Raw genomic sequence first — 27,537 nt, 5'->3', positions numbered from 1 at the left:
CACATTTCTGTATCTGTATTTTTGTGATAAGCATGTCTCTTCCATAATTTGCAAATAAAAAAAGGAATGTGCAAATAAATATGTAATCATATGATGAACGTAAAAATCATCTGTAACCCCATTACCCAGAGAGCTGCTATTTGTATTTTGGTAGTATAAATCCTTCAAAATATTTTCCAATGAACTCCACTACTATAAACTTTTGTAGCCTGTATTTTTTTAAAAATCTCAATTTTTCCCATACGTTATTCGTTTAAAGCATTATTTCAAAGGGCTGCATAGTATTCTATCTAATGGGTGTACCACAATTCAGTTAAACAATGCTCTATTGTGGAAAATTTGGGTTGTTTTCTAACTTTATAAGAAAACTACTGTGATCATCAATCTTGTACATAAATCTGTGCATCTCTATTTTCATAGATTTTTGTTTGTTTTTTGAGATGGGGTTTCAAACTATTGCCCAGGGTGGAGTGCAGTGGCACTATCTCGGCTCACTGCAACCTCCGCCTCCCGGGTTCAAGTGATTCTCCTGCCTCAGTCTCCCAAGTAGCTGAGAATACAAGCAAGTGCCACCACGCCTGGCTAATTTTTGTATTTTTTGTAGAGATGGGGTTTCGCCATGTCACTCGGGTTGGTCTTAAACTCCTGGACTCAAGAGATCCACCCACTTTGGCCTCCCAAAGTATTGGGATTACAGGTGTGAACCACTGTGTCCAGCCTCTATTTTCTTATAATAAGTGTTCTGAAGTTTAATTTACTGGACCAAAGAATATGACCATTATTAACTTATTTACTGGGCCAAATAGAAAGAACATTGCTGGCATTTTTTAGAAAGGGAATACCACTTTTAGCTTATACAAGAAATGTATGTGCTGGTGAGAAAGTATTTTTATGGGCACAAATTCAAAGCATTAAAATGTTTTAATCACTGTCATTTTGAAAGACAAAAATGGCATTTTTGGCTGGGCACGGTGGCTCACGCCTGTAATCCCAGCACTTTGGGAGGCTGAGGCGGGTGGATCACCTGAGGTCATGAGTTCGAAACCAGCCTGGCCAACATGGTGAAACCTCGTCTCTACTAAAAATACAAAAATTAGCTGGGCATGGTGGGGGGCACCTGTAATCCCAGCTACTCAGGAGGCTGAGACAGGAGAATCACTTGAACCTGGAAGGCAGAGGCTGCAGTGAGCTGGGATCACACCACTGTACTCCAACCCGGGCAACAGAACGAGACTCCTTCTCAAAAAAAAAAAAAAAAAAAAAGGCATTTGTCTGTGTTTTTGTTTGCACTTCCTTGATTAGTGAAGTTAAACACTTTTCCATATGTTGATCGACTGCTTGCATTTGTTACTTTGAGAAGGGCCTATTTATACCTTTCTACATACTCTACCTTGATTATTTCTGTTCCAAGAATTCTGGGGTCTAACACATTACACATTCCTGTACAAAAACTCCTTACAATAATATATCTGGTTGACCAAAAGCGTAGAAAGTTTTAAAAAGATATAAGAAAATGAAAAATCAGTATAATTTTTGGAGCTCACTGAAATATGGCTTAGGTATAAACAGCTTCTTAGTCAGCTTTTTTGAATGTAAGGTTAAAATTAGTTTTCTTTTACCATTGAATTCTTCAACTTCCAGCTCTGGAGCTACCAGGTAATACTGTTCACACAGCATCTTGGCTGTTTCATATGCATCTGCAAGAAAAGGAAAAAGTTTAGCTGCTGTACTAATAACATAGGCACAAGCGTGTGTGTGTGTGTGTGTGTGTGTGTGTGTGTGTGTGTGTGTGCACATGTGCATGTATATATCTATAGGTACATAAGATAAACTGTCTAAACGGATGGATGTAGAATTAATCAACTACAACCTTTTACAAAATACCCTTTTGTGGCTTTAATAGAATTACCATGACTAATGCAAAATTTCTCTTTTCTATTTTTTCCAAGACAGCGTCTCACTCTATCGCCTAGGCTAGAGTACAGTGGTGTGATCATAGCTCATTGCAGCCTCGAACTCCTGGGCTCAAGCAGTCCTCCCGCCTCAGCCTTCCAAGTAGCTGGCCTTACAGGCATATGCCACCATGCCCAGCCAATCTCTCTTTTCTTAAAGGATTTTCTGTTTGTTTGTTCGTTTGTTTGTTTTTTGAGACAGAGTCTCACTCTGTCACCCAGGCTGGAGTGCAGTGGTGTCATCTCGGCTCACTGCAACCTCCGCCTCCCAGGTTCAAGCGATTCTCCTGCCTCAGCCTCCCGAGTAGCTGGGATTACAGGTGTGTGCCACCACGCCCAGCTAATTTTTGTATTTTTAGTAGAGATGAGGTTTCATTATGTTGGCCAGGCTGGTCTCGAACTCCTGACCTCAGGTGATCCACCCTCTTTGGCCTCCCAAAAGTGCTGGGATTACAGGCATGAGCCACCGTGCCTGGCTTTCTTTTCTCAAAGTTTTAATGACCATAACAATGTCAACATACTAGAATACTGGCAATTCAGCTAGCTCTATACCAAACACGTACTTGTTTAACTTATACTATTACCAAAATATATTTTTCATGAAAATTTAGGAACTCAAGACTATACGTTCTAAGCACCATGCAACCTGACTAAATTGTAGCAAAAGAATATTTGTCATGATCTTAAAAATAATAATGCCAACAGTCTTGTGATTTGCCAGAGTTATTTGTAAGTGAAACCTCAGTAAGTATTTGCTGAATGAATAGATTTCCATGAGCCACACAATTTAAGTTACTGGAGATGCCACTATCACTTTAAAAGGTCCTTTGAGTTAGTTAAAGGTAACAGGCTGGGGCTGATATTTATCAAAGTCTGAGGAGCAACAGTCCGCTTTTTAAAGGATAAAATAAAAGACATATGGTAAGAAGATAAGAGCCATTACAGAAACAGCCGGAAGACAGAATTCAGGAGATTCAAAGATGGGGAGCAGATTCAGAAAGCAAAGGTGCATTACAAGACATTGGACATTGCATATATGCCTTTTCTCTCGAACTGTAAACAATCTGAAGTCAGCGTTTGTGTCTTAACACTTGTTTCATAACTTGCATAGAACTTCGTATAGTGCCTGTGTAGATGGTCAACAAACAGTCCTTGAGCCGGGTGCAGTGGCTCACGCCTGTAAACCCAGGACTTTGGGAGGCCGAGGTGGGCTGATCACTTGAGGCCAGGAGTTCAAGACCAGCCAGGCCAACATGGTGAAACTCCATCTCTACTAAAAATACAAAAATTAGCCAGGCATGGTGGTGAGCGTCTGTAATCCCAGCTAGTTGGGAGGCTGAGGCAGGAGAATTGCTTGAACCCAGGAGGTGGAGGTTGCAGTGAGCCGAGATCGTGCCACTGCACTCCAGCCTGGGGGACAGAGTGAGACTCCATCTCAAAAAACAAAAACAAAAACAAACAAACAAAAAACAACCTTAGTTTGATAAATTTTAAACCTTTTGGTAATTTACTTTTTAAAAATCTTTATTGGAGATAATTCTTATGCCATACAATTCACTCATTGAAAGTAAAGTGTACACACAGCTGGGCACAGTGGCTCACACCTGTAATCCCAGCACTTTGGGAGGCCGAGGCAGGGGGATCACTTGAGGTCAGGAGTTCAAGACCAGCCTAGCCAACATGGTGACACCCCTTCTCTACTAAAAATACAAAAATTAGCCAGGCATGGTGGCGGGTGCCTGTAGTCCCAGCTACTTGGGAGGTTGAGGCAGGAGAATCGCTTGGACCCAGGAGGCAGAGGTTGCAGTGAGCTGAGATCACACCACTGCACTCCAGCCTGGGCAAAAGAGCAAGACTCCATCTCAAAAAAAAAAAAAAAGTACATACAACTCAGTGGTTTTTAGTATATAGTCAGAGCTGTGCATTAATCACTATAATCAAGTTTACATATTCATCACTACAAAAAGAAGTTCCGAACCCATTAGCAGTTACTCCCCTCCACCCAGCCCTAGGCAACCATGGATCTACTTTATCTCTATAGATTTGCTATTCTGGACTTTTTACATAAACGGAATAATATGCGGTCTTCTGTGACTGGCTTCTTTCACCAGCATGTTTTCAAGCATCATCTACATCACAGCATGTATCAGGATCTCATTTCTTTTTATTGCTATATCACATTCCATTGTACAAGTATACCATATTTTCTTTATCCGTTCATCAGCTGGTAGACATCTGGGTTGTTTCCACTTTTTGGCTATTATGAATAGTGCTGCTATGAACCTTTATGTCCAAATGTTTGTGTGAACATATGCCTTCATTTATCTTGGGTATATACCTAGGAGTAGAAAACTGCTGCTTCGTGGGCGCATTTGGAATGTTCTCAACAGGATTATCAGCTCTTTGAAGACAGGCTCTTATTTCCTTTATATTCCCCACATCAATACCGTGCAAAGTAAATACTGTGCTTGTTTAATATTCAAGAGGTGAGAGAAAGAAGGAAGGAAGCAAAGGGGGAAAAGTAAGCCCTACAGAATGTTAATGTTAAAAATTGACATTATTAACCTAAAATAATACAAAGATAAGATTAGGGTATGTTCAGACTATAAATTTTAGTTCATTGACTTCATATTGCTACCAAATTAATTATCTATTATTTGACCTCAGAGTAAGAATTCTGATTCCTTTACTAAACTTTTAGAATTAAATCTCTATAAAGAACCAAAGATAGAGACATTAAAATAACTCAGACAAGGTGAAATAATGAGGGACAGCAAAAAGGAAACAGCAGTAAGAGGAGAAAAAAAATGTTTAAAAGAGTTGATCAGTATGAAAATAGACACTTAAGTAGGATTGAACTTCAATCCTGAAAAAAAAGTTAAAAATTTTGAATTGTACTAAATTTACAAGTGTTTTCCTAGGCTATAATAAACCTTATCAAATATCTGTAAAGTACTTTTGTCAAAAGAAGAGAAATCAAGACTCACTCCTCTTGCTTAGCCTATGCCGCCAAACAATGCTACATCTCCACCTAGTGACGTGAAAGCACAAAGCTGAACACAAACTTCCAAGATCACAAGCACTGAAACCTAAAAACGATCATTCATTATCGATACACAAAGCCAACACATCTTCACAAAACAACTCCTCCAGGTATGTAATAAAGATGTTTAAACAGTGCTCTTCCATTCACTACAAAACAAAAATAACCTAAACCCACTAAATGTGCTAATTCCTCATGGAATTCGCTTGCCCAGTAGCATGATTATGACAGCGTTGTTAAGAAAATGTGCTACACAAATTTAACATGTGAAAGACCAAGCCTAGACAGAAGCAGCCAACTCGAAACACAAAGACCCAGTACAGCTCCTAAAACCACGTGCGAATAAGAATTTTTAAAGCATCACTACAACTTACAGTGTATCAACGTTATAATTAAGAATTGCATGATGATCCTTGAAGAACTCAAGTCATCACAATGTAGACTCACATACACCAGCTAGCCAAAAGTATTTTGAGGGCATTAATGGTATTACATATATACTATGCATCTTTGTAAATTCCTTGGACACAATGCATGTTGCAATGCCTTGGACACAATACACACTTAGCATTTGTTAAATGGAACGATCCTCTGACCCATGATTAAGTTCTCAACATGCAGTAAATTACACTGACGGGAGGTGTTCCTTTTGGTGAGACTGGGAACTAGAGGCCTAGACTCATTCCCCAATCTAGCTGTGTGTGGGATTCGTTACCAAATTTAAAAGAAAGAGTACAGATTATGAAAGGAACCCCTGGAAATTCCGAGGCAGTAGCTCTATGTTGAGGCCTGAGAGTCCACATTCTTAAAACTTAGCAGGTAATTCGGAAGAGAAGCTAGGCCACTTCCCTGGAAAATCAAGTCTGAGTCACGCTAATTCTGCCACTCATCTCTCCCAGGATATGAATGATTATGAGGTTCTGGGGTAACAGCACTTATATACTCAAACAGGACATTTCTGTTTAAGTAAAATAATTTAACATAAAAATGAAAAAGCTTTAAAAAATCGCCATCAAAACCAAAATTCAACTCATGGCTTGTAATTTACATTTAGAGTAAAATGCAAATTCTACTTATAATAAGCTTTCTAATCAAACTTTTCTATTTTTTAAATTAGAAATCAAAATTTCAAAAAAGATAACTGCCAAATTACTTTTATGTGCATACTGGGGCCAATATTTACCATCAATCTTTAGAAGAAAATATTAGAGAATTATTATTGCCACTGAATATAAGTGACATGCCTTCTTTTAGGAATCTGTTTTCAAGGGTTTTAAGGTACTGATTATAAAGTAATTAACAAAACTGCAGGTGTGGCTCATACATACTTCCCCAGGTTAAAATATCTAAACTGTAAATGCATTAGACTAAAATTTTAAAAGGCTGAGAACAGGGTGAAGGTTCACACAGCAATCAGCCCAACAGAACCAAACTAGCCATGAATCCGTTTTAAGAAATAGCACACAGGAAAATTGAACAGATAATGGAGGTTGTTTCATCAGATTTTCCTATTCAAAATTCACCACAGAACTCTGCTATCAAATATTAGCCTCTATCTTGAATGCATGCAATCATTTGAGACAAAAAATATGAGAGGCTGGACTAGGATGAATTTGAGTGAGTGCTGAAAAAATTAAAAGGAAGGTGCCAAGGTCCCTAACTTTGAGTCTAACAGAATACAGAAAATCATAAAGCTGAAGTTTAAGAAGCCAGTGTCACAAAAAGGTAAATGTAAATGACCAGAAAACATTAGAAAAGTGCTGATGGGCTGTTTTTAATTGTTTTTATTTTATTTTTTAATAAAAACAATCCCACAGCATTTACTGTCATCTGGTAATAATATATACAGATAATGGAAACAATCTGAACAGGCATTTTAGAACTATACTCCCAACAAATGACACCTAAAAAAACAAGTTCTCAATAGTGTCTCACTTCCTTGATCATTTCTGGTTAGAGACATTTTGTGGCAGAATATGATCTCCTTTAGCACGATCTGGCCCAGGGGTTTTCTTGGCTTTGTTTCACAATGAATCGCTTCTGCATCATCTGATATGAGGTTCACAGACTCGTCAAAACCAATGACACGGCCCTCTATCAGCATATTCACTTGCTCATAGAGCCATACCTGAATCCGAGATCTATTTTGCAAGTATCTGAAGATGAAGGTAAGGTTGATGGGCTATATTCACCTTCTGCACTTTTTGGCCCTGGCCACAGTGCACCATGGTAGAACCCACAGAGACAACACTGGCCCGCACCCCACCTTCTGGAATTGATATGCTGCCTTTTAGGAACCCTTTCAAGTCTCAAAGCAATTCTAATAAGGCATGTCTATCATCATCCTTCCTACCCCAAACCCATCCCAAGTGGGATCCAATGGAGATTTTTTAAAGGAGTAGGCCCCCACACCTCACGCTCCAAACCACAGCAGACTGGGCAAGTGGGAGTGGGAGCAGAATATCCAATCTCCAGATTGATCAGAATCCTAAAACTTGTGATCGTAGGGGGAAAGAAAAAAAAAGATAAGCTGAGTTAATTAAATTCATCTTTTGGGAATTCAGAATCAAGATCGTGGGCAAAAAAAGATAAGCTGAGTTAATTAAATGCATCTTTTGAGAATTTAGGATCAAGACAGTTGGGGTGATCAGGCAGGGCAGAAGCCAAAATGGTACACTGAAAATTATCATGATCTGTGAAGGACTAGAGTGCCCAACAAGCTGCCACTGAGTCGTCCAGTACACAGACAAAAACAGGTAAAGGAGCAGGCACAGAGAAAGGCGGAAAGGCCATGACTTGGCAACTCCAGCTGCAAAGACACACAGAAAACAACCTTGTTTTCTGTTTCCTAATTCCAATTTCTTTTTTTTTTCTGATGGAGTCTCACTCTGTCACCAAGGCTGGAGTGCAGTGGTGCAATCTCAGCTCACTGCAGCCTCTGCCTCCCATGTTGAAGCGATTCTCCTGTCTCAGCCTCCCGAGTTGCTGGGATCACAGGCACACGCCATCACACCTGGCTGATTTTTGCATTTTTAGCAGAGATGGGGTTTCACCATGTTGGCCAGGCTGATAATTCCAATTTCTATAGCTCCAACTATAAAGTGCTTCCTGTCCTTGGATTATCATGGGACCTACCAGGTTCTTTTGATAAATCTTTCTTGAGCTAGCGTGAGTGGGTCTCTGTTACTTGTAACCTGAAGAGCCCAAAGTGAGAGCACAAGACATTATTTCTGAACCAGAATAATGCCACGCGCTCTGAGGATACCACTTGTGTGCTATTATATTAAGCAGTAATAGCATGTAAGAACAACACAGGCAACTTAGCATCGCTGTGAGAATCGATTTTTACACCAAGTATTTAAGTTTATACTTTCAAAATGATCTTACAGCAGGATTTTCCATTTTATTTCCTAGCTTCTTACAAAGAAAGGAGGGAAAAGGGTCACAGTGGAAGGCACCTCCCAAAGGATAATAGGACCTGCTTTACAACACTAATTCTAGCATTCACTACCTGGGGTCTATAATTTGTAGATGTGTAAAGGTAGATACTAAGGTGCTAAATAAGCAGCAAGGAGGCATGTTTCAGTGTTCTGCACATTCAATTAATGCTACACAAGATGCACCCCACTTTTATATGTTGATACAACTGTCTAGTCAAAAATAAAAATATTGTCTCTACTCTTCTACATGGGAGTTTTCTGTAATCTGTCTCAAGAGATCTAAGGATGGGAGTGGGCTTAACACTTGTTTTGTTGTTGTTGTTTGTGTGGTTTTTTTTTTTTTTTTGAGATGGAGCTTCACTCTTGTTGCCCAGGCTGGAGTGTAATGGCGCAATCTCAGCTCACTGCAACCTCCGTCTCCTGGGTTCAAGCGATTCTCCTGCCTCAGCCTCCTGAGTAGCTGGGATTACAGGTGCCTGCCACCATGCCCGTCTAACTTTTGTATTTTTAGTAGAGATGGGGTTTCACCATGTTGGCCAGGCTGGTCTCGAACTCCTGACCTCAGGTGATCCACCCGCCTTGGCCTCCCAAAGTGTTGGGATTACAGGTGTGTGTCACTGCACCTAGCCAACACTTATTAAACCTATAAAACACACATGTGTGCACACAAAGAGGCTCACACACAGACGCCCACACAGGGTCATTTGGGCTGGACATCTGACTATGCTTAAACCATGTAGGATTCTCACAGCTAAGAAAATCATTAGTAGGGCTGTCATTAAAACCTGGAGCCCTTACTCTCGTAACATCCAACTGCTTAAAACAAAAGGAAGGAAATAAAAGATTAGCTATAGAGATTCTGAGTTAGAAGATTAACTAAGAAATCTCAGAGGATAGTGGAAGAAGGTACAAAGCCAGGGTGAAAATACCAACTACTCTAAAAAGAGGAAGGCAACAGTAAGACTTCACTAAGAGTCAAAAGAGGCTGACATCCATTTCTTCCCTTCCTTGGCAACACTTGGCAGGGATTGGTAAGAAGAGCTGGTGAGGCCTGGGCCTCTTGAGACCTTCTGATGGTTGCTCCTGGGGCATTTGGGGATGGAGACTCCAGTGCCTTTTAGCTAGAAGACACAGAAGAAATTTCAGGCCTTTCAACCTTTGGCGCTCTGTGCCTTCTTTATTCTCTCTCAGTCTTACTTGGAGGTAGAAAGAGCTTCTGCATAAGCATTTGATGCTCAAAAAATTAAGAGGAGGGTCCATAGGAAATGAAGCAGACAGTCGACTGGAGACATCTGCTTTGGTCTACAAGGAAAAGAGAGGCCTGCAGGTTTCCTTCTAGGTTGCCTAGCCCATTTGCCAGGGTAGAAAAAGTAACTGATGTAAGGCCAATCCCCCACTGCAGAATAAAGGTTATGCACACTTGGCTGGAAAGACCATTTAAATATACAGATAATGAGTATCACAGATTAGACACAGGAAGAACTCCAAAATACTGACGCAGACAGCAGGATAGAGGCTTCTACCATGGGGTATCAAATTCAGCCAGGAAGGGTGTGTGTGATGGGCATTAGTGCTGGAGATAGAGAAATTCAAAAATACTATGGATTTCACGGAGACAAAGATTAGACACAATATTTGCAGCTACACACCTATCTATAAATCTGATATGAGTTCAAATGTATAAAACAACGTTCTCACTAAATTATGAAAACAGGTAATTTTTATTCTCTTCTCTCTTTTCCCATATTTTCTAAACTTTCTTCGATGAGCACTTTTATTATTTTGGGAAAATGGCATTAGTCTTCTTAACTATCCCAACTGGGAAAAGGAGTTGGATGATTAACAAAAATGTTGGGTAAAGTGGGAAACCGTAAAATGTGATTACTATCGTAAACATTAACTTAAAATGCACATTTGAACATACAATTTATTTATCTGTCAGTATATTCATATAAGGCCTTTCCTTTGAATGTGGATCAGTTTGGGGTTCCAGTTCGTCTTTCTTGGATGAACAATATCACTTACATCTATGAATTCCAATTCCTATTTCTTTAAAGTATAATAAACTTAAAGATACTTGTGAAGCAACCTGGGTATAAATTCCAGGTAAGATTTTTACTCCGTGCTGCCCTGTAATCTAATCGTTTTCTTACTCACAGTAATTTCATAACATTTTTAAGAGTCCTTCCAAAGCATTCAACTTGGTTTTAACAGAAATAAGTCTCTTTCTTGTATGCATATTTCTTCAGTTTACATAACATTTAAATAAATTATATAGTCACAACAGTCAGTATAACTTACACCAAGGGCTTGGGTACAAATAAGTGACCCTTAGTAAGCATGCACCTCACCAGGTGGAAGCAGAAGTACAAAAGCATTCCAGAAAACACACATAAGCCAAGAGTATTTAGTGTGCTGTGGGTATCGGTATGCATCGTTTATGAAGGGAATGAAGGATGTCAGAAAGTTGATTATGTGGCTGCTGCTTTAGAGGGTTATACACTTTCGGAATCTGAAACCACCTCCACTGTTTTTTTCCTTAAGGGAGGATGCTGTTGAGAGATGAAAAACCATGGTTTGAGAGAGGCGTGGGGAATGGGGAGCATGCCAGTCCTTCCTGCTTACCCCATGAGTGTGGAGGTGGGATTTGTATGTGTGTACATGTCCATGCGTGTGTGTGTGCATGTGTATGTGTATGTGTGTGTTGGGGGAAGAGGGATTTTGAGTCACAAAAGGGCACAAGAAGTGACTGTTATTGTATAGGGCTTCACCAGGAACTCCAAGCTTTAATTATGCTAAGTGAGTGGCAGGAATGATTAAGTAAGGGAAGCAGTAAACTTTGTTCACAGTGCAATAATGGGTATAATATAGTTAATAAGCGCAGGAGAAAGACTAAAGATAAAGCTGTGAGTACAAGAAGAGGGAAGAAAAAGGAGGGGACTGTGGCTCAGGGTCAAAACTGTGTCTAAAAGGGACAAAGCAAAGAGGAAGCTATGAGGTAGACATTGGCATAAACTTCCAGGGTTTTTTCTTTCAATTATGTATTGAACTATTCTTCATATAACCTTCAGCTACTTTTTGGTACAAAACTTCTGACCCTAAGAGGAGTGATGCAAAAGCGTATAAGAATAATTCCAGACCTTTAGAAATTGACACCCTAGATAGAGAGAGACAAATAGGCTGGGGATGGTGGCTCATGCCTGTAATCCCAGCACTTTGGGAGGCCAAGGCGGGCGGATCACCTGAGGTCAGGAGTTCAAGACCAGCATGGCCAACATCTGGTCAAATGGCCTCATCTCTACAAAAATACAAAAATTAGCCGGGCATGATGGTGGGTGCCTGTAATCCCAGCTATTTGGGAGGCTGAGGCAGGAGAATTGCTTGAACCCAGGAGGCAGAGGTTGCAGTGAGCCGAGATCACGCCATTGCACTCCAGCCTGGACGACAGAGCGAGACTCCATCTCCAAAAAAAAAAGAAAGTACAAATAATGACAAGGCCAGGTAATATGTACTAAATATGAGAGAAGAGTAACACAGACAGTAAGTGCCATAAAACGATCGATTCTGTTCACATTAAGAGTCAAATCACAGTCGATTCCTCCTCACACTCTGACACCTCTGACTCACTTTAGCACCACTTAATCGCTCTGTTCTATAGAAGTGGTAACAGTTTCATAAAACTCCCTGCTACTTATCTAGTTGTACTGGTTCTTGGTTAAAAGCTCCCTAAAAATTAGTGAAAGACTTTATTTGTGCAGAAACAATAAGATGATGAAAACAAGTGTTTTTAAAACTTCATTGATACGGTTTGGCTCTGCACCCTCACCCAAATCTCATGTTGAATAGTGATCCTGAGTGTTGGCGGTGGGGCCTTGTGGGAGGTGATTGGATCATGGGGGCAGATTTTCCCCTTGCTGTTCTCATGATAGTGAGTTCCCACGAGATCTGGTTGTTTAAAAGTCTGTAGCACATTCCCCTTCGCTGTCTCTCTCCTGCCATCAAGTGAAGACGTGCTTACTTCCCCTTCACCCTTCTGCCATGATTGTAAGTTTCCTGAGGACTCCCAAGCCATGCCTCTTGTACAGCCTGCAGAACTGTGAGTCAATCAAACCTCTTTTCTTCATAAATTACCCAGTTTCAGGTAGTTCTTTATAGCAACATGAGAACAGACTCATACATTTACCGTGAAGAATTCCAAACACATACCCAAGTACAGAGCATAGTATAATGAGCCCATGTGCCCATCAACAGCCTCAAGAATTTTCAACAAATGCCCAGTCCTTTTCACTCCCCTCCCTGTGTATAATTTTGAAGCAAATCTCACATCATTTCATATCATGTGTAAATATTTTTAAATACCTCTCTCAAAGCTAGCACTCCTTTATAAAAACAAGACCAGATACCAATATCACACCTAAAAAGTTAACATATTTTTAATGTCAAATATCCAGTGTTCAAATTTCCAATTGTCTTATAAAAGCCTGAAATGACTTTAAAAAATATTTTATAATTTATGCCAGAAACAAAATAAAGGCACCAACCTATTATATAATCAATGGCGTACATGGGAAGCCAAATGACATGTCTGACACCCAAGGACTGTCTGCTGCTAGTAAACCTGTCTACAGCCTTTACTGTGTACTAGCATTGCTTTAGGGGTTCTACAAATATGAACTCATTTAACTCTACAATATAGGTGAATTACCAAGAGCATCATTTTACAGATGAAGAATCTGAGCCCCAAAGAGGTTACTTAATCAAGTCTGAGATCACCCAACTAACATGAAGAGAAAAATAAAATGTGTTATATTCATACAATGGAATATTTTTCAGCCATAAAAAGGAATAAAGTACTGAAAGATGCTATGACATCAATGACCCTTGAAAATGTTATGCTGAGTGAAAGAAGCCAGTTACCAAAGACCACATATTGTATTGTTTTGTTTATATGAAATGTCTATAATAGGAAAATCTATACAGAGTCAGAAAGTAGATTAGTGGTTGTCTAGGGCTAAAGAGAAGGGTAGAAGGGAGTGACTGCTAACAGGTCCAGGGTTTCTTTCTGGAGTGATGAAAATGTTCTACAGGCCAGGTGTGGTAGCTCACGCCTGTAATCCCAGCACTTTGGGAGGCCAAGGCAGGTGGATCACAAGGTCAGGAGTTCGAGACCATCCTGGCCAACATGGTGAAACCCCGTCTCTATTAAAAATACAAAAATTAGCTGGGCGTGGTGGCATGCGCCTGTAGTCCCAGCTACTCAGGAGGCTGAGGCAGGAGAATCACTTGAACTCGAAGGACAGAGCTTGCGGTGAGCTGAGATCGTACCACTGCACTCCAGCCTGGGCGACAGAGCGAGACTCTGTCTCAAAAAAAAAAAAAAAAAAAAAAAAAAAGAAAGAAAAAAACAAAATGTTCTACAACTGGATTGTGGTGATGGTTGCACAACTCTGTGAATACACTAAAAAACACTGAATTGAGCATTTTAAATGGTTGAAGTTTATCATATGAGATTGTATCTCAATAAAGCTGTTTTTAAAAGTATATTCTCAAAAGATTTAAAATGTATCAAACCAAGGAATATTTATTAATCACCTACACAAGCACTACAGTTGGTTCTATGCAAGTTATAAAACAAATATAAGACACAAACCCTGACCTCAAATTGGTTACAGTTCAAGAGAAAATGCACACATACCATATATCACAATGCACTTTTGCTTTCTAAATTGTGCCTTTTTCTCAAAGGGGTAATCAACTGTCTGAACCAAGTTTTCTGTTTCATAAAAGGCACTGAGCTAAGGCCTAATGAACATGTAAGCTATGATAAGACTGACCCTTTCCTCCTTGCCCCCGGAGGCCTTTGGAGGTTCTGATCAACCACAAAGTTATCTTGTGAGAGAGCAACCAATAGGATTCCTAGAGCTGAGGCTGGGCTGATTCACCTTACAACTGAAATAATGTGAGTAAATCTGTTGTGACTCAACAGAGGCCAGGGCAGCCAGACAATCCTAGGCTAAGCTAAAACCAACAGGTCTGGTCCTCCTCCCTGGGTTTAGGAATGCCCAGGGTAAACAAATTACAGAGGTTTTCCTTTGCTATGGCTGCTGAAGAGCAATGAAGATCCTTGATGAAGATCAGAGAGAATTGCAGCCATGAAACTTGGGAGGTGAGCGTTTAAAGAAGGGAGATAAAGGCCAACACAGGAGATACAATCTGCAGAAAGGGACAATTTGGGGATCTGAGGTTGCACAAAGTAACCGTAACAATGAAGAAAACTGAAGAGGTACCTGGTGGATCGCTCACAACCAGGAAGGTTTCTTGGAGATAGCATTGATCTTAAATGAATAAATAATGAGGAAACTGCTGTTCAAATTCAAAGTGCCTGGGTACCAGGGACTTACGGATATAGGGCTTGGTTCTTCCCGGAGGATACTGGAACAATGTCTAGCTTAAAGTCCAATGAACCCATGAAGCTTACATGCCACATAAATTCTAAAGCCAGATGTGAACAACAGAAATATGTTTAAATTTTATAGACACGTGAATTCAACCTAATTTTATGATAAGAATTTGGATTCTCTGAAATTTTCAGATAACAGTGGCAATCAGAATCTTACTTAAATGTTTACTGTTTGAGACAGAACTACAAATGAAACTCTAATCAATAAAGTAGAAACTCACATTTTGAGCCTTACCAATTATGCTGAACTGCCTAGAAAGAACTGCCTACCTGAACTGCCTAGAAAGAACATTTCATCTGGATCCAGTGGCTTGGGCCCAGAGTGACCTGATGAATCAGCAGACTGCACTGCAAAATAACCCTATAGCCAAGCTGCCTCCAATAAACCACAATCCAATTTGAACTACGATCGATACCATTACAACGGTCTCCTTACCTTTCACCACATCCGCCACGTTACAGGTGGGATCGATACTTCCTATGTGTTTAGGATGAACAGGATTAGTGTCACCCCCAAACAGAAGTGCTAGACGAACACAAAAGGAAAGGGAGGGGATTAAAACACAGCAGGCTGGGATGGTCACACAGGGAAATATAGGGGCTTATGTTTAGAAAGGATATCTTATGTGTAAAAATCATTTTAGCATCCACAGCAACTTAGAGCAATGGAATACACACAATTGATGGGTGAACAACTCTTATTGGTCAATGAAGGAGGAGGATGTGGTTTAAGGTCTGTCAGTTGCAGTCAGCAGGTTCTAAAGCAGTGACACGTGCCAGGTGCCCAATCCGTTCTTCCTCTCCCAATGTGACATGGATGAAGAAACTTACTTTCATCCTTAGTCAAGTATACCCACCTTCTTAGTACTACTCCAGACACAAACTCCAACTTTCATTAAATATTTAGAACATGTGGTCTATACCATTTGGACAAGCTTGCAAAGTGTCTTCGCTGGCAGCATTTCAGATGCCTCCCCCATGGAGATTATGTTTCAATGTTGTGTACACAAACAATACTTGTTCAAGTATTTTTAAAAATACACTCAGATAATTTCACAATATACAAGATTTGCAAAATTTTGTTTCTGAATAAAAGCCAAAAGAAGCCCCAAAGAAAAAAGCAATCTGCATCCAAATATTTATAGGTGTTCTTATTTTTAAATCAAGCAAAAATTGCGACTAACAAAAGAAGGATGCCTAAATAAAATAGGGGATATTTTAAACTATGAAAAATGATAAATACAGGCATTAGGCTAATTAATAAAGTTCGAACTGATTAAGGGGAAGAAAAACAGAGATGTGTAGGCCTAACTAATGATCTAAAAACATGCACGTATATATGTGTACATGTGTATTTAGATCAGAAAGCAACTGGAGTTATCTAAGTAGTTTAGTTGAACAGTATTTAGGCTCTTTTATTCCTGTAAATTGTCATACATTTCCATTTTGAAGATATACATTTAATATAAGGCCACATTTAATAGTTCTATAACATTCAGTTATCCAAATAAATCAAATTACTAAAATAAAGATGGTTTGTCCACTTTGTGATGCAGCAAACAGGGTGAATTATGCTCTAGACATGTGGATGCTTTTCCTCAAGGATTATAAAATCAGCCAAAGAGACAGTGCTGAAGATGAGCCAAAAAGTTTTTTGTGTGGAGGGAATTTTAGTTGTTTTTTTCATATCTGCTTAGTACCCTCAAGAGCAGACTAAAACTCTCAATACGGGATTATGGACTGACAGTCTGGCTTAATCTGACTTCACTGATCACTGTGAAATAAAGAACTGATGGCTCCTATCACCAACATCCAATTCAATATTTCCAGTGTCAATGTTTTTAAAACTAAAAAGGAAAACACATAATATCCTGGATAAAGAAAATAATACAATCTGAGATACATAAAAGTATTCAGAGATGAAGGCCGGCTGCCATTAAAGGCGGTCCCTCATCCCCATCAAGACTGTATCAGCAGAGACTTAAAAGGTAGGCAGTGGTCCTGTCTCTAATGTGAGCCTCATAAAAGCCTTTCAAACATTTCTTTTAACCAAGAATACAAATTAATAGCTTTGTAATGGCTAGGATTCACTTAGGAAAAACCGAACTAGAAATGAAATTTCTACAACCAAAAATGCAGGTCAGTAAATTAACAACAGGAAAACATTTGGGAGAAATCACTATGGTTACCTTTTCAAAACTGGACCAACAAACTCCAACTTACTGTGCTGATTAATAAGCATGCGGAAAGAGATGCGGTTGGTATAAAACCGATCCAGAAAATATTGGATGTTAGTGCTAATGAAAGGATCAAACCCAAACTTCTCCTTGTATTCAATCACTCCTTGTGCCATTGTAGGAACCACATCATTGTGTCTATTTCTGACTTTAATCAGAACTTGTAGAAAGCTGTGTGAGAGGGAAACAAAACGTGGTCAGTCTTAATATCTCATGGGCTGATGCACAGACTTCCCAGCTCTGTCCCCAGACTAGTTGTCTGCTGGTATTTTTATAAGTAGAGACATTATTCTTACTACATAGAACAAGGAACCACCCACAAGAAACTAAAGTATGAGCCAAGTTTTTGCTTGAAACTTTTTTTCTACAGAAACCCTTCTTTCAGAAGTGCAAAAAGTAAAAGGTTCTAGTACAGAAAAAAAATGCTCAAATACCCTTTTAGGAATCCAGACTTTTTGGATAAGTGATTGCATATAACACAGGTTCTATAAAAGTTGAATAAAGAATTGCAGAACATATCAGTACTTCTTCTGAGAACATGAGGACAATCCCCACAAAATCTCCAAGGACTGATTAAAGCAATCTCAAAGCAATAGCTTCCATGAATAAAGAAATAATGTCACACTGTTTTTTGGGTTTTGTTTGTTTGTTCTTTTGACGGAGTCTCACTCTGTCACCCAGGCTGGAGTGCAGTGGTGTGATCTCGGCTCACTGCAACCTCCACCTCGCGGGTTCAAGCAATTCTTCTGCCTCAGCCTCCCGAGTAGCTGAGACTACAGGTGTACGCCACCACGCCTGGCTAATTTTTGTATTTTTAGTAGAGACAGGATTTCACCATATTGGCCAGGCTGGTCTTGAACTCCTGACCTCGTGATCCGCCCACCTCAGCCTCCTAAAGTGTCTCATACAGTTTAAGAGTAAAATTTGGAAATAAATATCTCGCAGCAGTAAAATACAGTGATGAAATGCAGACAGAACACAGGAAATTAAACTATTCAAGTATCTGGCATCTTATTGTAAATATGCATATGGGAAAATACATTAAGAATGGTATAAGACAAGTCAGTCAATGGAACTAAATAAAAAGTTTAGGACCAGGCCCATGAGTGAGTATGTATATATAAAAATCGAGCATATTGAGAAAGTGACATTGCAAATCAGTAGGTAAACAATCAAACTAATAATCAAGTTAACTGGAACAGCGGGCTAACAATTTCAGTCACATCCTAATTTCAAGACTTAAAACCAAATACTGGATTAAAAATGTAAAAGGGTGAAATCACAGAAATGATAACAGAAAAATCAGGTGAATAAGTACATAATCTTGGGATAAGGAGGGCTGTTCTAAGCTTAATATCAAAGGTAGAAACAAATAATGTGAAGAAACAAATGATATGACTATGTAGAATTTTAGCAATCCTATAGGGACACACATTAATAAATGAAGTAGAAAAAAAACAAAAAACTTAAAAAAAGGAAAAAACTAGCACCCCATCAGAAAACTAGGCAAAGGATCTGCTATCAATGCAAAATTTACCAAAGAAGAAGCACAAATGCCAATAACGTCACCCTTACAAATAAGAAAAGCAAATCAAAACAATGTGATACTTATTATTCTCCACGTATCAGCATCAGCTAGAGTTTGGGGCTTAACTGAGGCACTTCTCAGGACAATCAGCAACATACAGCAAAAGCCCAAAGAAAATAATTCCACTTGGAGGAATTGATCCTAGGAAAATAACTGGAAAAGGTGAACAGCTGTTTGTTTGTTTGTTTATTTATTTATGAGACAGAGTCTTGCTCTGTTGCCCAGGCTAGAGTGCAGTGGCACAATCTTGACTCACTGCAACCTCTGCCTCCCGCGTTTAGGCAATTCTCCTGCAGCCTCCCAAAGTACCTGGGATTACAGGTGCCCACCACCACGCCTGGCTAATTTTCATATTTTTAGTAGAGACAGGGTTTCACCATGTTGCCCAGGCTGGTCTCGAACTCCTGGCCTCAGGTGATCCGCCCGCCTTGGCCTCCCAAAGTGCTGGGATTACAGGCGTCGGCCACCATGCCCGGCCAACAGATGTATTTAAAAGCTGTTCTTTAAAGCATTGTTTATAGTAGCATGAAAACTACAAACCAGTCTAAAATCCAGTGATAGAAGATCAAATTGCATGAACTATCTGAAGATGGACTATTAACATGAATATTATGAAACTATTAATAATGGTGTAGATCTATAATGTTGACACTTGTTATGTTTGTAAAAATATTTTACGCATATAAATATATGCATGCCTAGGGAAAAGCACGGAAGAAAGGAAAATAGTAATAGTGGTTGTCCCCTGGTAGTAGAAATTTGGGGTGACTTTCTTTTTACTTATCTCAATAGTCTTATTTTTCTGAAATATTTGATGAAATATTTGACGAAATATTTCTGTAACAAATACATACGTACAATGACAATAAAGATGTAAAACTCTGAAATTAGGCCATCGTCATTCACAAAAAATTTTATAATAGACAATTTGTCCTTTATGTAATACTCGTTGCAATGTATTTGTAAGTTAAATATTACTAAAGTGAAACGATTCATTATAGTAGAGAAGTGCCTCAACTTATCTGAAGTGGGGAGACTTACCTCAATGGCTCAATGCTCAGAATTCTCCTCCAATCTTCCGGGCTCTTCTAAACTCTATCATAAATGATCAACAAGCTTGTCCTCTAAGCTACTTTTGCTTTACTAAAATGATTTCCCTGCTGGTGATCCCATACAACCTCTTGGTAAACAGAAAAGGCTGCTACCATGATACTCGCTCACCTTTCACTCCTTCCTTCACCAAGAACATCAGCCTTCTCAAATGCCAACTATCATAACTAACCACATGAACCTAGGCAAGCTACAAAACTCACGGAGTGAGAGCTCAGCTATTATTGCTATCGTCAAGCACACACTGGATTCAGCACTGACAGTTTGCAAAGCAGGCTCGTGGCCATAAATCACATCGGATAACCTGTTCCAGAAACTGAGACGGGACTCCGGGAAAAACACAGCAGAAATTTAACATCGTGTATAGTCGTCTCTCAGTATCCGCAGGGGACTGGTTCCAGGATCCCCGCAGATACCCAAATCCTCAGATGCTCAAGTCCCTTATCTAAAATAGTGCATACAGCCTACTCACATCCTCTCGGATACTTTAAATCATCTCTAGACTAGTTATAATACCTGATACAATGTAAATGCTATGTAAACAGTTGATAGACTGTATTTTAAAATTTTGTATTATTTCTTATTGTTGCATTGTTATTTTTTATTGCTTTTTTTTTTCCTGAATATCTTTTCAATCTGTGGCTGGTTGAATCCAAGGATGTGGAAACTGCCAGTACAAAGGACCAACTATACTTCTACAAATTTGTTCTAAAATTTGGAGCTACAGTGGTCAGCCCTAGGTTTTAGGATTTCTGCCAAACGGTTACCAGCTAATGACTTTTGAGAAAACAAAGCTCCTGGATTGAATTCATTTAATAATCGCTTAAATGACAGCAGTGGCTTATATCAAGGAAAACGCTACATCTGGGGCTCTAACCCAATGCTTCCCTGCCTTCCACACTTCACAGATCCATCAGACAAACACCCAACAAAGTATAAAATAGGTGAGGGCTTTTGTTTTTCCTTTGAATTTTAGTTTACAACTAGACTAGAACTAGCTACTCATGGCTCAGACGTAAACATAGCTTATAGGTCCAGCTTTGCTATGAACGGTCACAATCTTGGGCAAGTCACTTCACATCTCTGAACTCAGTTTCCTTATCTGTGGATTGAGAGGACTGGGTTAAATACCTCCTAAGGTTGCTTGTATAACATGGTGTTTCCCTAGTTCTTCTTATGGAACATCTATTAAGTCAGGTGTTCAGTCTCATAACTATGTGGACTAGTTTATACTTAGAAATTTCTCAGCACAACAGGCCTACCATATGCATCCACTTACATATACATGAAACAGGAAGAAATTAATGTGAAAGGGATATTTAATTTCTCTTGGAGGGGAAAACATACTCACAGCTAGAGTTAGTGTTCCTGGGATAAATAAAAATGAATCTCATCAGCATGATAATTTGCCAGTCTGTGCATAAAGGGAGCAATAGAATTCAGGTTGCTATATAAAAAAACATACTTTTATGCCTCTCCAAAATAAAACCACTACAGTTTTTGAGCTCAAATGTAATATCCTATTGAAATTTTTTTTTTAATTGTAAAGGATTGAGTAGATAAATTCATGTATATAAAAAGGCCACTGCATTCTTAAAACTACCACTAGATGGAACATTTACTGCAGTGTTTATAGTGACTGCCCAGTTCACCTTGGGTAAAGGTATTAAGTATTAGATCATAAAAGCAAAACTGAAAGTGTCATTATTACTTTTGTATTGTGTTACATTCTTAGCTCGAATTAAAAAAAAAAAACTCAATGTTGAGTCACTACTCATTAAGAAAATGAACGCTTTTGTCCACATTCATACTCCTTGAGTCTTAATGACTTGAATTACATTTACCAAAATCTTTCTTACCTAGATATTTTTACTTTCAGCTAAGTGGTACCATACTTACTTATCCAAGACCTGTGGATCCTCAGGGCTCTTATTTTCATATTCTAAAAGTTCAAGAAAACTCTGCATATACCTAAAAGGAAAAAAAAAAAAGAAAAAGAAGAGTTACTATGTTAGTTGCCTGCCCAGCATCCACCCCTCCTCTCCCTCTTCCTAAGAACACTCCAAAATTTCACTCAGGTCTCCATCCCATCCGCATCCCCCATGTGGCTTAAGTGCATCAGGGAAGCCAGTGCCTCCAAAGATCCTGGGTGGTCCCATTTTTCTCTGGGCAATTCTATTTCTCTTGTCACTAATTATTCATTAGCCCAATAGTTTAGGTCTAAGCCTATCACTGTGTGCATTCCCCTGAACACAGGGAATGGCTCAGGAATGGACATACTGTCTCAATTCAGGCCAGTAAAATGACAGAAAAGACTCGCTAGAGGACTTTGGCAGAGAAATCAACCTGCTCTGCTTTTGTGCAGTGCTGTGTGGATTGGAAGCCTGGAACTGCTGCAGCTATTCTGCCACCAGGGGGGAATCCAGTCTGAAAATGAAGCCAGCACCATCGAAAGCAGGGCCTCGATAGCTTCATGAATCTCTGAATCAAACCAACACCAAAAGCTCACCCTACGGCTGGACCTTCTAGTGACATGAGCCAGGTTCGGTTGCATTTTTTCTACTTACAAACAGACATATCCTAACTTATATACCAAGTCTACAGTTTGATTACCAAAAATGTACTTATACATTTTAAGAAACACATGTGTGACACTGAAGTGCCTGCCAAGAACTTAGAAACTAGAAGTGAAGAAGGGTCCTTCTGAGTTAAATTAATTTCATCAGTACTTAATGGGGGAGAAAGAAGGCCAATTAAACCCTCAGAAACAGCTTCTGGATTAAGAATAGCTCCATATCTCAATCAGGGCCAGTATAAGAAACAGTCTGTCCAACATTAAAATCTGGAGAACACAGAAAAATGAGATCCAGAGAGGCCCATTAGTGCAGCAGCTATATCCAGCCAGGATCTGTTGGATCTGGTGGGGATTCAGATATTCCAATTAGAGATATGTGATCTCTATTTGGGGTTTTAACATGTCCTGAAAGAATTATCCCTTTATTCTAATTATTTCTAAGCTTTAATTGCCACTAATCCTATTATCTACACCTTTGGATAGAGGATGAGGACACTCTAGTAACTAAAAATGACTGTTACACATATAAATACTCCAATGAGAATGCCACTTGATTCATCAGCTTCATGTGAACTTTGGACAATGCATTTGATACTAATGAATGTTCATTGATGGACATACTTTTTAAAAGTCTCTGGGGGCTGGGCGTGTTAGCTCACGCCTGTAATCCCAGCACTTCGGGAGGCTGAGGCGAGTGGATTACTTGAGGCCAGGAGTTCAAGACCAGCCTGGCCAACATGGCGAAACCCCGTCTCTACTAAAAATACAAAAAATTAGCTGGGCGTGGTGGCACATGCCTGTAGTCCTAGCTACTCGGGAGGCTGAGGCAGGAGAATCGCTTGAACCCAGGAGGCAGAAGTTGCAGTGAGCCGAGGTTGTGCCACTGCATTCCAGCCTGGGCGACTGAGCAAGACTCCATCTCAAAAAAATAAATAAAATAAATAAATAAAAGTCTCTGGGCATATAAGGCTATGGATTAGATATTGTTAAAATCATTGGGTCAAAACGCCAAGAGGTCAAAGCCAGCCAGCCCCAGTGATGCCCTCCGCCCTGCCACATGCAAGCAAGCTAGGTAGGCATCCCGTCCTTTCCAAAGGGGACAGTTGGAGAAAGTCATAAATAGCAGGGAGCCAAAGATTATTCTGGGCCAGGTGCGGTGGCTCACACCTGTAATCCCAGCACTTTGAGAGGCCGAGGCAGGCGGATCACAAGGTCAGGAGATCGAGACCAACCTGGCTAACACAGTGAAACCCCGTCTTTACTAAAAATACAAAAATTAGCAGGGCATGGTGGCGGGCGCCTGTAGTCCCAGCTACTTGGGAGGTTGAGACAGGAGAATGGCATGAACCCAGGAGGCGGAGCTTGCAGTGAGCTGAGATCCCGCCACTGCACTCCAGCCTCGGCAACAGAGAGAGACTCTGTCTCAAAAAAAAAAAAAAAAAAAAAAAAAAAAGATTATTTTGAGGTTCCCAGCCTGACAGTCAAGAGAGCAAGGAGGACACACTGTGACCAAGGGGATGGTGGTGGGGGTCACAGCCCATTATGCATAAGATTCGCTTTTAAAAGGAAAAAATGGCAGTGAAACACAATGCATGATCCTGAAGTGGATTCCTAAATCAGGAGGAGAAACTGCAAAAAAAAAAAAAAAAAAAAAAAGATGGGGGTAGTATCAGGACAATTAGTAGTAAAGTGAGAACAAGTTCTACATATTAGAAGACATTACTGTATCAATGTTAAATTTCCCAAATTTGATGATCACATTGTGGTTTTCTGAGACCTGTTCCAATGAAATACATGCTAAAGTATTTAGGGCAAAGGGGCATGATGTAGACATCGTGTATGTGTACCATATATGGGTGTGTGTACCATATATAGACATAGATTATATATATGTGTGCACGCACGTGTGTGTGTGTGTGTGTGTGTGTATGCAGAGAGTGAGACAGAGAGAGAGAATCTGAATGACAATGGTAGAACGTTGCCAAATGTTAACAATGTTAACAATTAGTGAATCTACGTGAAGGTATACTGGAATTCTTTCTACCAGTTTTACAACCCTTCTGTTAAGTAGGAAAGTATTTCAAAATAGAATGTTTAAGAAACAAGAAGGAAGAAATGGCATGCATTTGTTTGGAATGGATACGGAAAAGGAACAGTTAAAAGACAAAAACCAAACAATAGAGTTGACATAGCAATTTGTTCAAGCCTATACTTTGCCGGAATAATATAACACATTTAAGTACATTTGGTCTTTGTCCCTGCTTCCTGGACAGAGCTCCCAAAACCCTTGGAACTACCTGAATGATAGGATTGTCTTCTGCTATCCATAAGGAGCCGCCTTTGACCACACCTGAGTTTATGCTAATGTGGTGACTTAGGACGGGACCTCTAGATAGCCTCAGGATGGGGCTGGTCACCAGAAAGGCCAAGTGATTCGAGGACTGCAACTTTCAGCTCTACCCTCAACCTCTGGGGAGGGGAGAGGGCTGGAGATTGAGCTCTATCAAAACCCTTGAACGACCATCAGAGAGTCTCCAGGTTGGTGAACATATGGGGGTACTGGGAGGGTGGTGTGCCCAGAGTGGGCATGGAAGCTCCATGTGTCCCCCCATACCTTGCCCTATGCATCTCTCCCATGTGGCTGTTCCTGAATTGTACCCTTTCTAATAAACCTATAAACATAGGTGAAGTATCTTCCTGAGTTCTGTGAGCCGTTCTAGCAAATTATCAAATCTGAGAAAAGGGGCATGGAAACTCAATGTCTAGCCACTCAGTCAAAAGCACGGGTGGCCCAGGACTTTGTGTCACAAATTCAACTTCTTCAGTTAAATGACATATGCTTTAAGCATCAGAGCTATAACTGATTTAAGTTTATGTTATACTCTGTCAAAATTTTTCCTACTTTTCATGGAGCAAATGAAGCAAAGGAGGGAACTGATATTTTTCCAATCTGAGGTTCCCCTTTAAATGACTTAATTTGTTCTACAAGAAGTACTGACTTCAAGGAATGTCTTTACAAGGAAAACGAAAGGAGTAAGGTTAAGACTTGATAAAAGCAGCAAATATCCTGTCAGAAGAACTGCAATCCCACCACACACAAGAAAAACTCAGGAAAGTGTCTAGTATAACTTAACAAGCATTTTCACTAAAACAACTTTAAAACAAACAGCTCTAAAAGAAAAAAAACAAAACAACTTTTAATTGCATGGAAAACCCAGCTATCCCAAATGACTCATTCCTACCTAGACGGGCAGTATGTGCACTTTTACAGAGAATGGTCTCGCTGCCAAATGTTCACAGCATTGTGGGAAGATCCATTTTAAGCCACATTGTTTACTTACCAACTCTGAACCAATCCCACTGAAGGGCGGTTAAGTAAATTATCCGGCAGAAGATTAACTTCTCTCATTGTGTTAGCCAGCCGCACAGGAAGTTCCTTTCGTAGAAACATATATGAAGTTTTCTCACATGCATTATCTCTCCCTATTAAGACATGAAAAATGTTCCATGATTTTATAGTCTAACAGATGGAGAAATAAAGTGCTCCCACGGTAGCACGGTTACTACTGGTTGGAAAGAGAAAATTAAATAATCCTGCAGTCTCTAGTTGAATTTTTATCCTTTGAAATAGCAAGTTCAAGAAAATAAGTTAATTAGCAGAGAAAAAGAACATTCATTACAAGAGGCAACTTTGAAAGCAGTTTTTTTTTCTTAACACAAAAACGTTCCTAGTGTTACCAGCGGCAATACAAAAGTGACCTGGGATATAATCTGAACTTGTTTTCAAATAAACACCATGGGAAAACTGCCAAGTACAAAGGTAACAGAACGTGTAAATCCACTCCCATTCATAGGGCTTTCCAGGAGGCAACGGATCCATTCATTTCACAATTATTTACCTACTGTGTGTGCCAACTGTTTCCTAAGATTTTCCTCCAGTGTGTTTCTTCAGGGACCATAGCTCTGCCCCTCTGGGAAGTAGCCACAGACCCCAGAGACCCTGTGCTTCCAGAGGAGGGGCTCTGACTGAGACACAGGGTTGGCATGTGCCAGAGAAACATGCCAGAGAAACTATCTCCTGGGTATACTCAGAGGCAGAGTGATCTACCATGCCACATCGGAGAGGGTAAGATGTGGGTTGACCATAAGGAAGGAGGTCAGTGCCTTCTGGAGGCTTCCCTGAGCTAGCTGTGCATAAAATTTACATAAACAAGACGCCATGAGAGGAAACATACCTGGCCACTTAAAAGAGGAAACCTGAGCTCTTTCCCCTGCTGTCATGTGGCAGGAAGAGTTCTAGCATCAGCCTGGCCTGCAACCCCCAGCCCTGCTGGAAACTCCATGGTGGCTGGGAGTGGAGGGCCTGATAGAAAAGGCATGAGCTTTGGAGACAGAAATGTTCTCCAGCCCCAACTCCTCCATTTGCAGGTTGTGAAACCTTTGGTAAGCTTCTTCACTTCTGAGTCTCAGCTGCCTTAATCTGTAAAATGGGGATAAAACTAGTTTGTGTAAGGACTAAATGTGATACTGTGCATGGAGGCTGACACGGAGCAAGTGTTGGACAAACACTGGTCCTTCCGGTCTCCGTGGTATTGAGGGGTCCATCCCATCTCCCTCGCCCTGCCTAGGCCTCTTTGCTGCTCCATATTCCCTGGAGGCTGCACAGAAATGGGCAACATCATGGCCAGGCCCAGAGAGAGACGAGCAGAGCCATTTAACAATTTTCTCTTCCAAACTCTCCTTATTCTTCTGTACGTCATGAAGGCAGCAAGTCAGAGATTCAGAAGTGAATCCAATTTTCTAACACTTCCAGTCATATTCTGGTTTATTCATTTGCTCTCCCTACCAAATAAAACTTGAAAAAAAGAACCTAATCTAGAAAGTAATCTGCAGAACCTTTCTTCCCCACTCATCCCTGACCCCCTTCTCCATTCTCAAAAAAGTTACAATAAAAGATGAAAGTCTGAAATAATCCATCCCTCATTTCCCTCATCCTAAGTGAGTATATTGAAGGCCTTTGGTAAATCTTTTAACTAAATGATGATTCACTTTTCTCCTTCATACTTTCACTGTGATAAGTACCTCAATCCCCAAATACCCACTTCAAGTAAGAGGAGAAGGGGTGTAATGCC

The 27,537-nt window shown here is 40.0% G+C and overlaps 1 protein-coding gene and 1 pseudogene across 2 annotated transcripts in view, besides 1 other annotated feature; both read right to left on the bottom strand.

The window, feature by feature from the left end:
• Positions 1-27,537, bottom strand: part of PDK3 (pyruvate dehydrogenase kinase 3) — an 85,181-nt gene that overhangs the window by 29,837 nt on the left and 27,807 nt on the right. For both annotated transcript variants that reach the window (NM_001142386.3, NM_005391.5), the window contains exons 2-6: positions 25,747-25,888; positions 21,730-21,801; positions 17,119-17,303; positions 15,332-15,421; positions 1,620-1,697 (exon numbers count right to left, since the gene is read on the bottom strand). In NM_001142386.3, coding sequence (NP_001135858.1) covers positions 1,620-1,697; positions 15,332-15,421; positions 17,119-17,303; positions 21,730-21,801; positions 25,747-25,888 — 567 coding nt within the window. The remainder of the gene's footprint in view (positions 1-1,619; positions 1,698-15,331; positions 15,422-17,118; positions 17,304-21,729; positions 21,802-25,746; positions 25,889-27,537) is intronic.
• On the bottom strand, positions 6,948-7,223 carry SNRPEP9 (SNRPE pseudogene 9; annotated as a pseudogene).
• Positions 7,170-7,289: an enhancer, noted in NCBI's record as "active region_29505". NCBI's record gives its function as "activates an Ori minimal core promoter by ATAC-STARR-seq in GM12878 lymphoblastoid cells {active_cell/tissue: GM12878}" and the evidence as "EXISTENCE:reporter gene assay evidence [ECO:0000049][PMID:35858748]".

The sequence above is a fragment of the Homo sapiens genome, chromosome X (assembly GCF_000001405.40).
Source record: "Homo sapiens chromosome X, GRCh38.p14 Primary Assembly".
NCBI classification, from domain to species: Eukaryota; Metazoa; Chordata; class Mammalia; order Primates; family Hominidae; genus Homo; species Homo sapiens.
The sequence above is the reverse complement of the archived record's forward strand: the minus strand, read 5'-3'. Positions and strand labels throughout refer to the sequence as shown.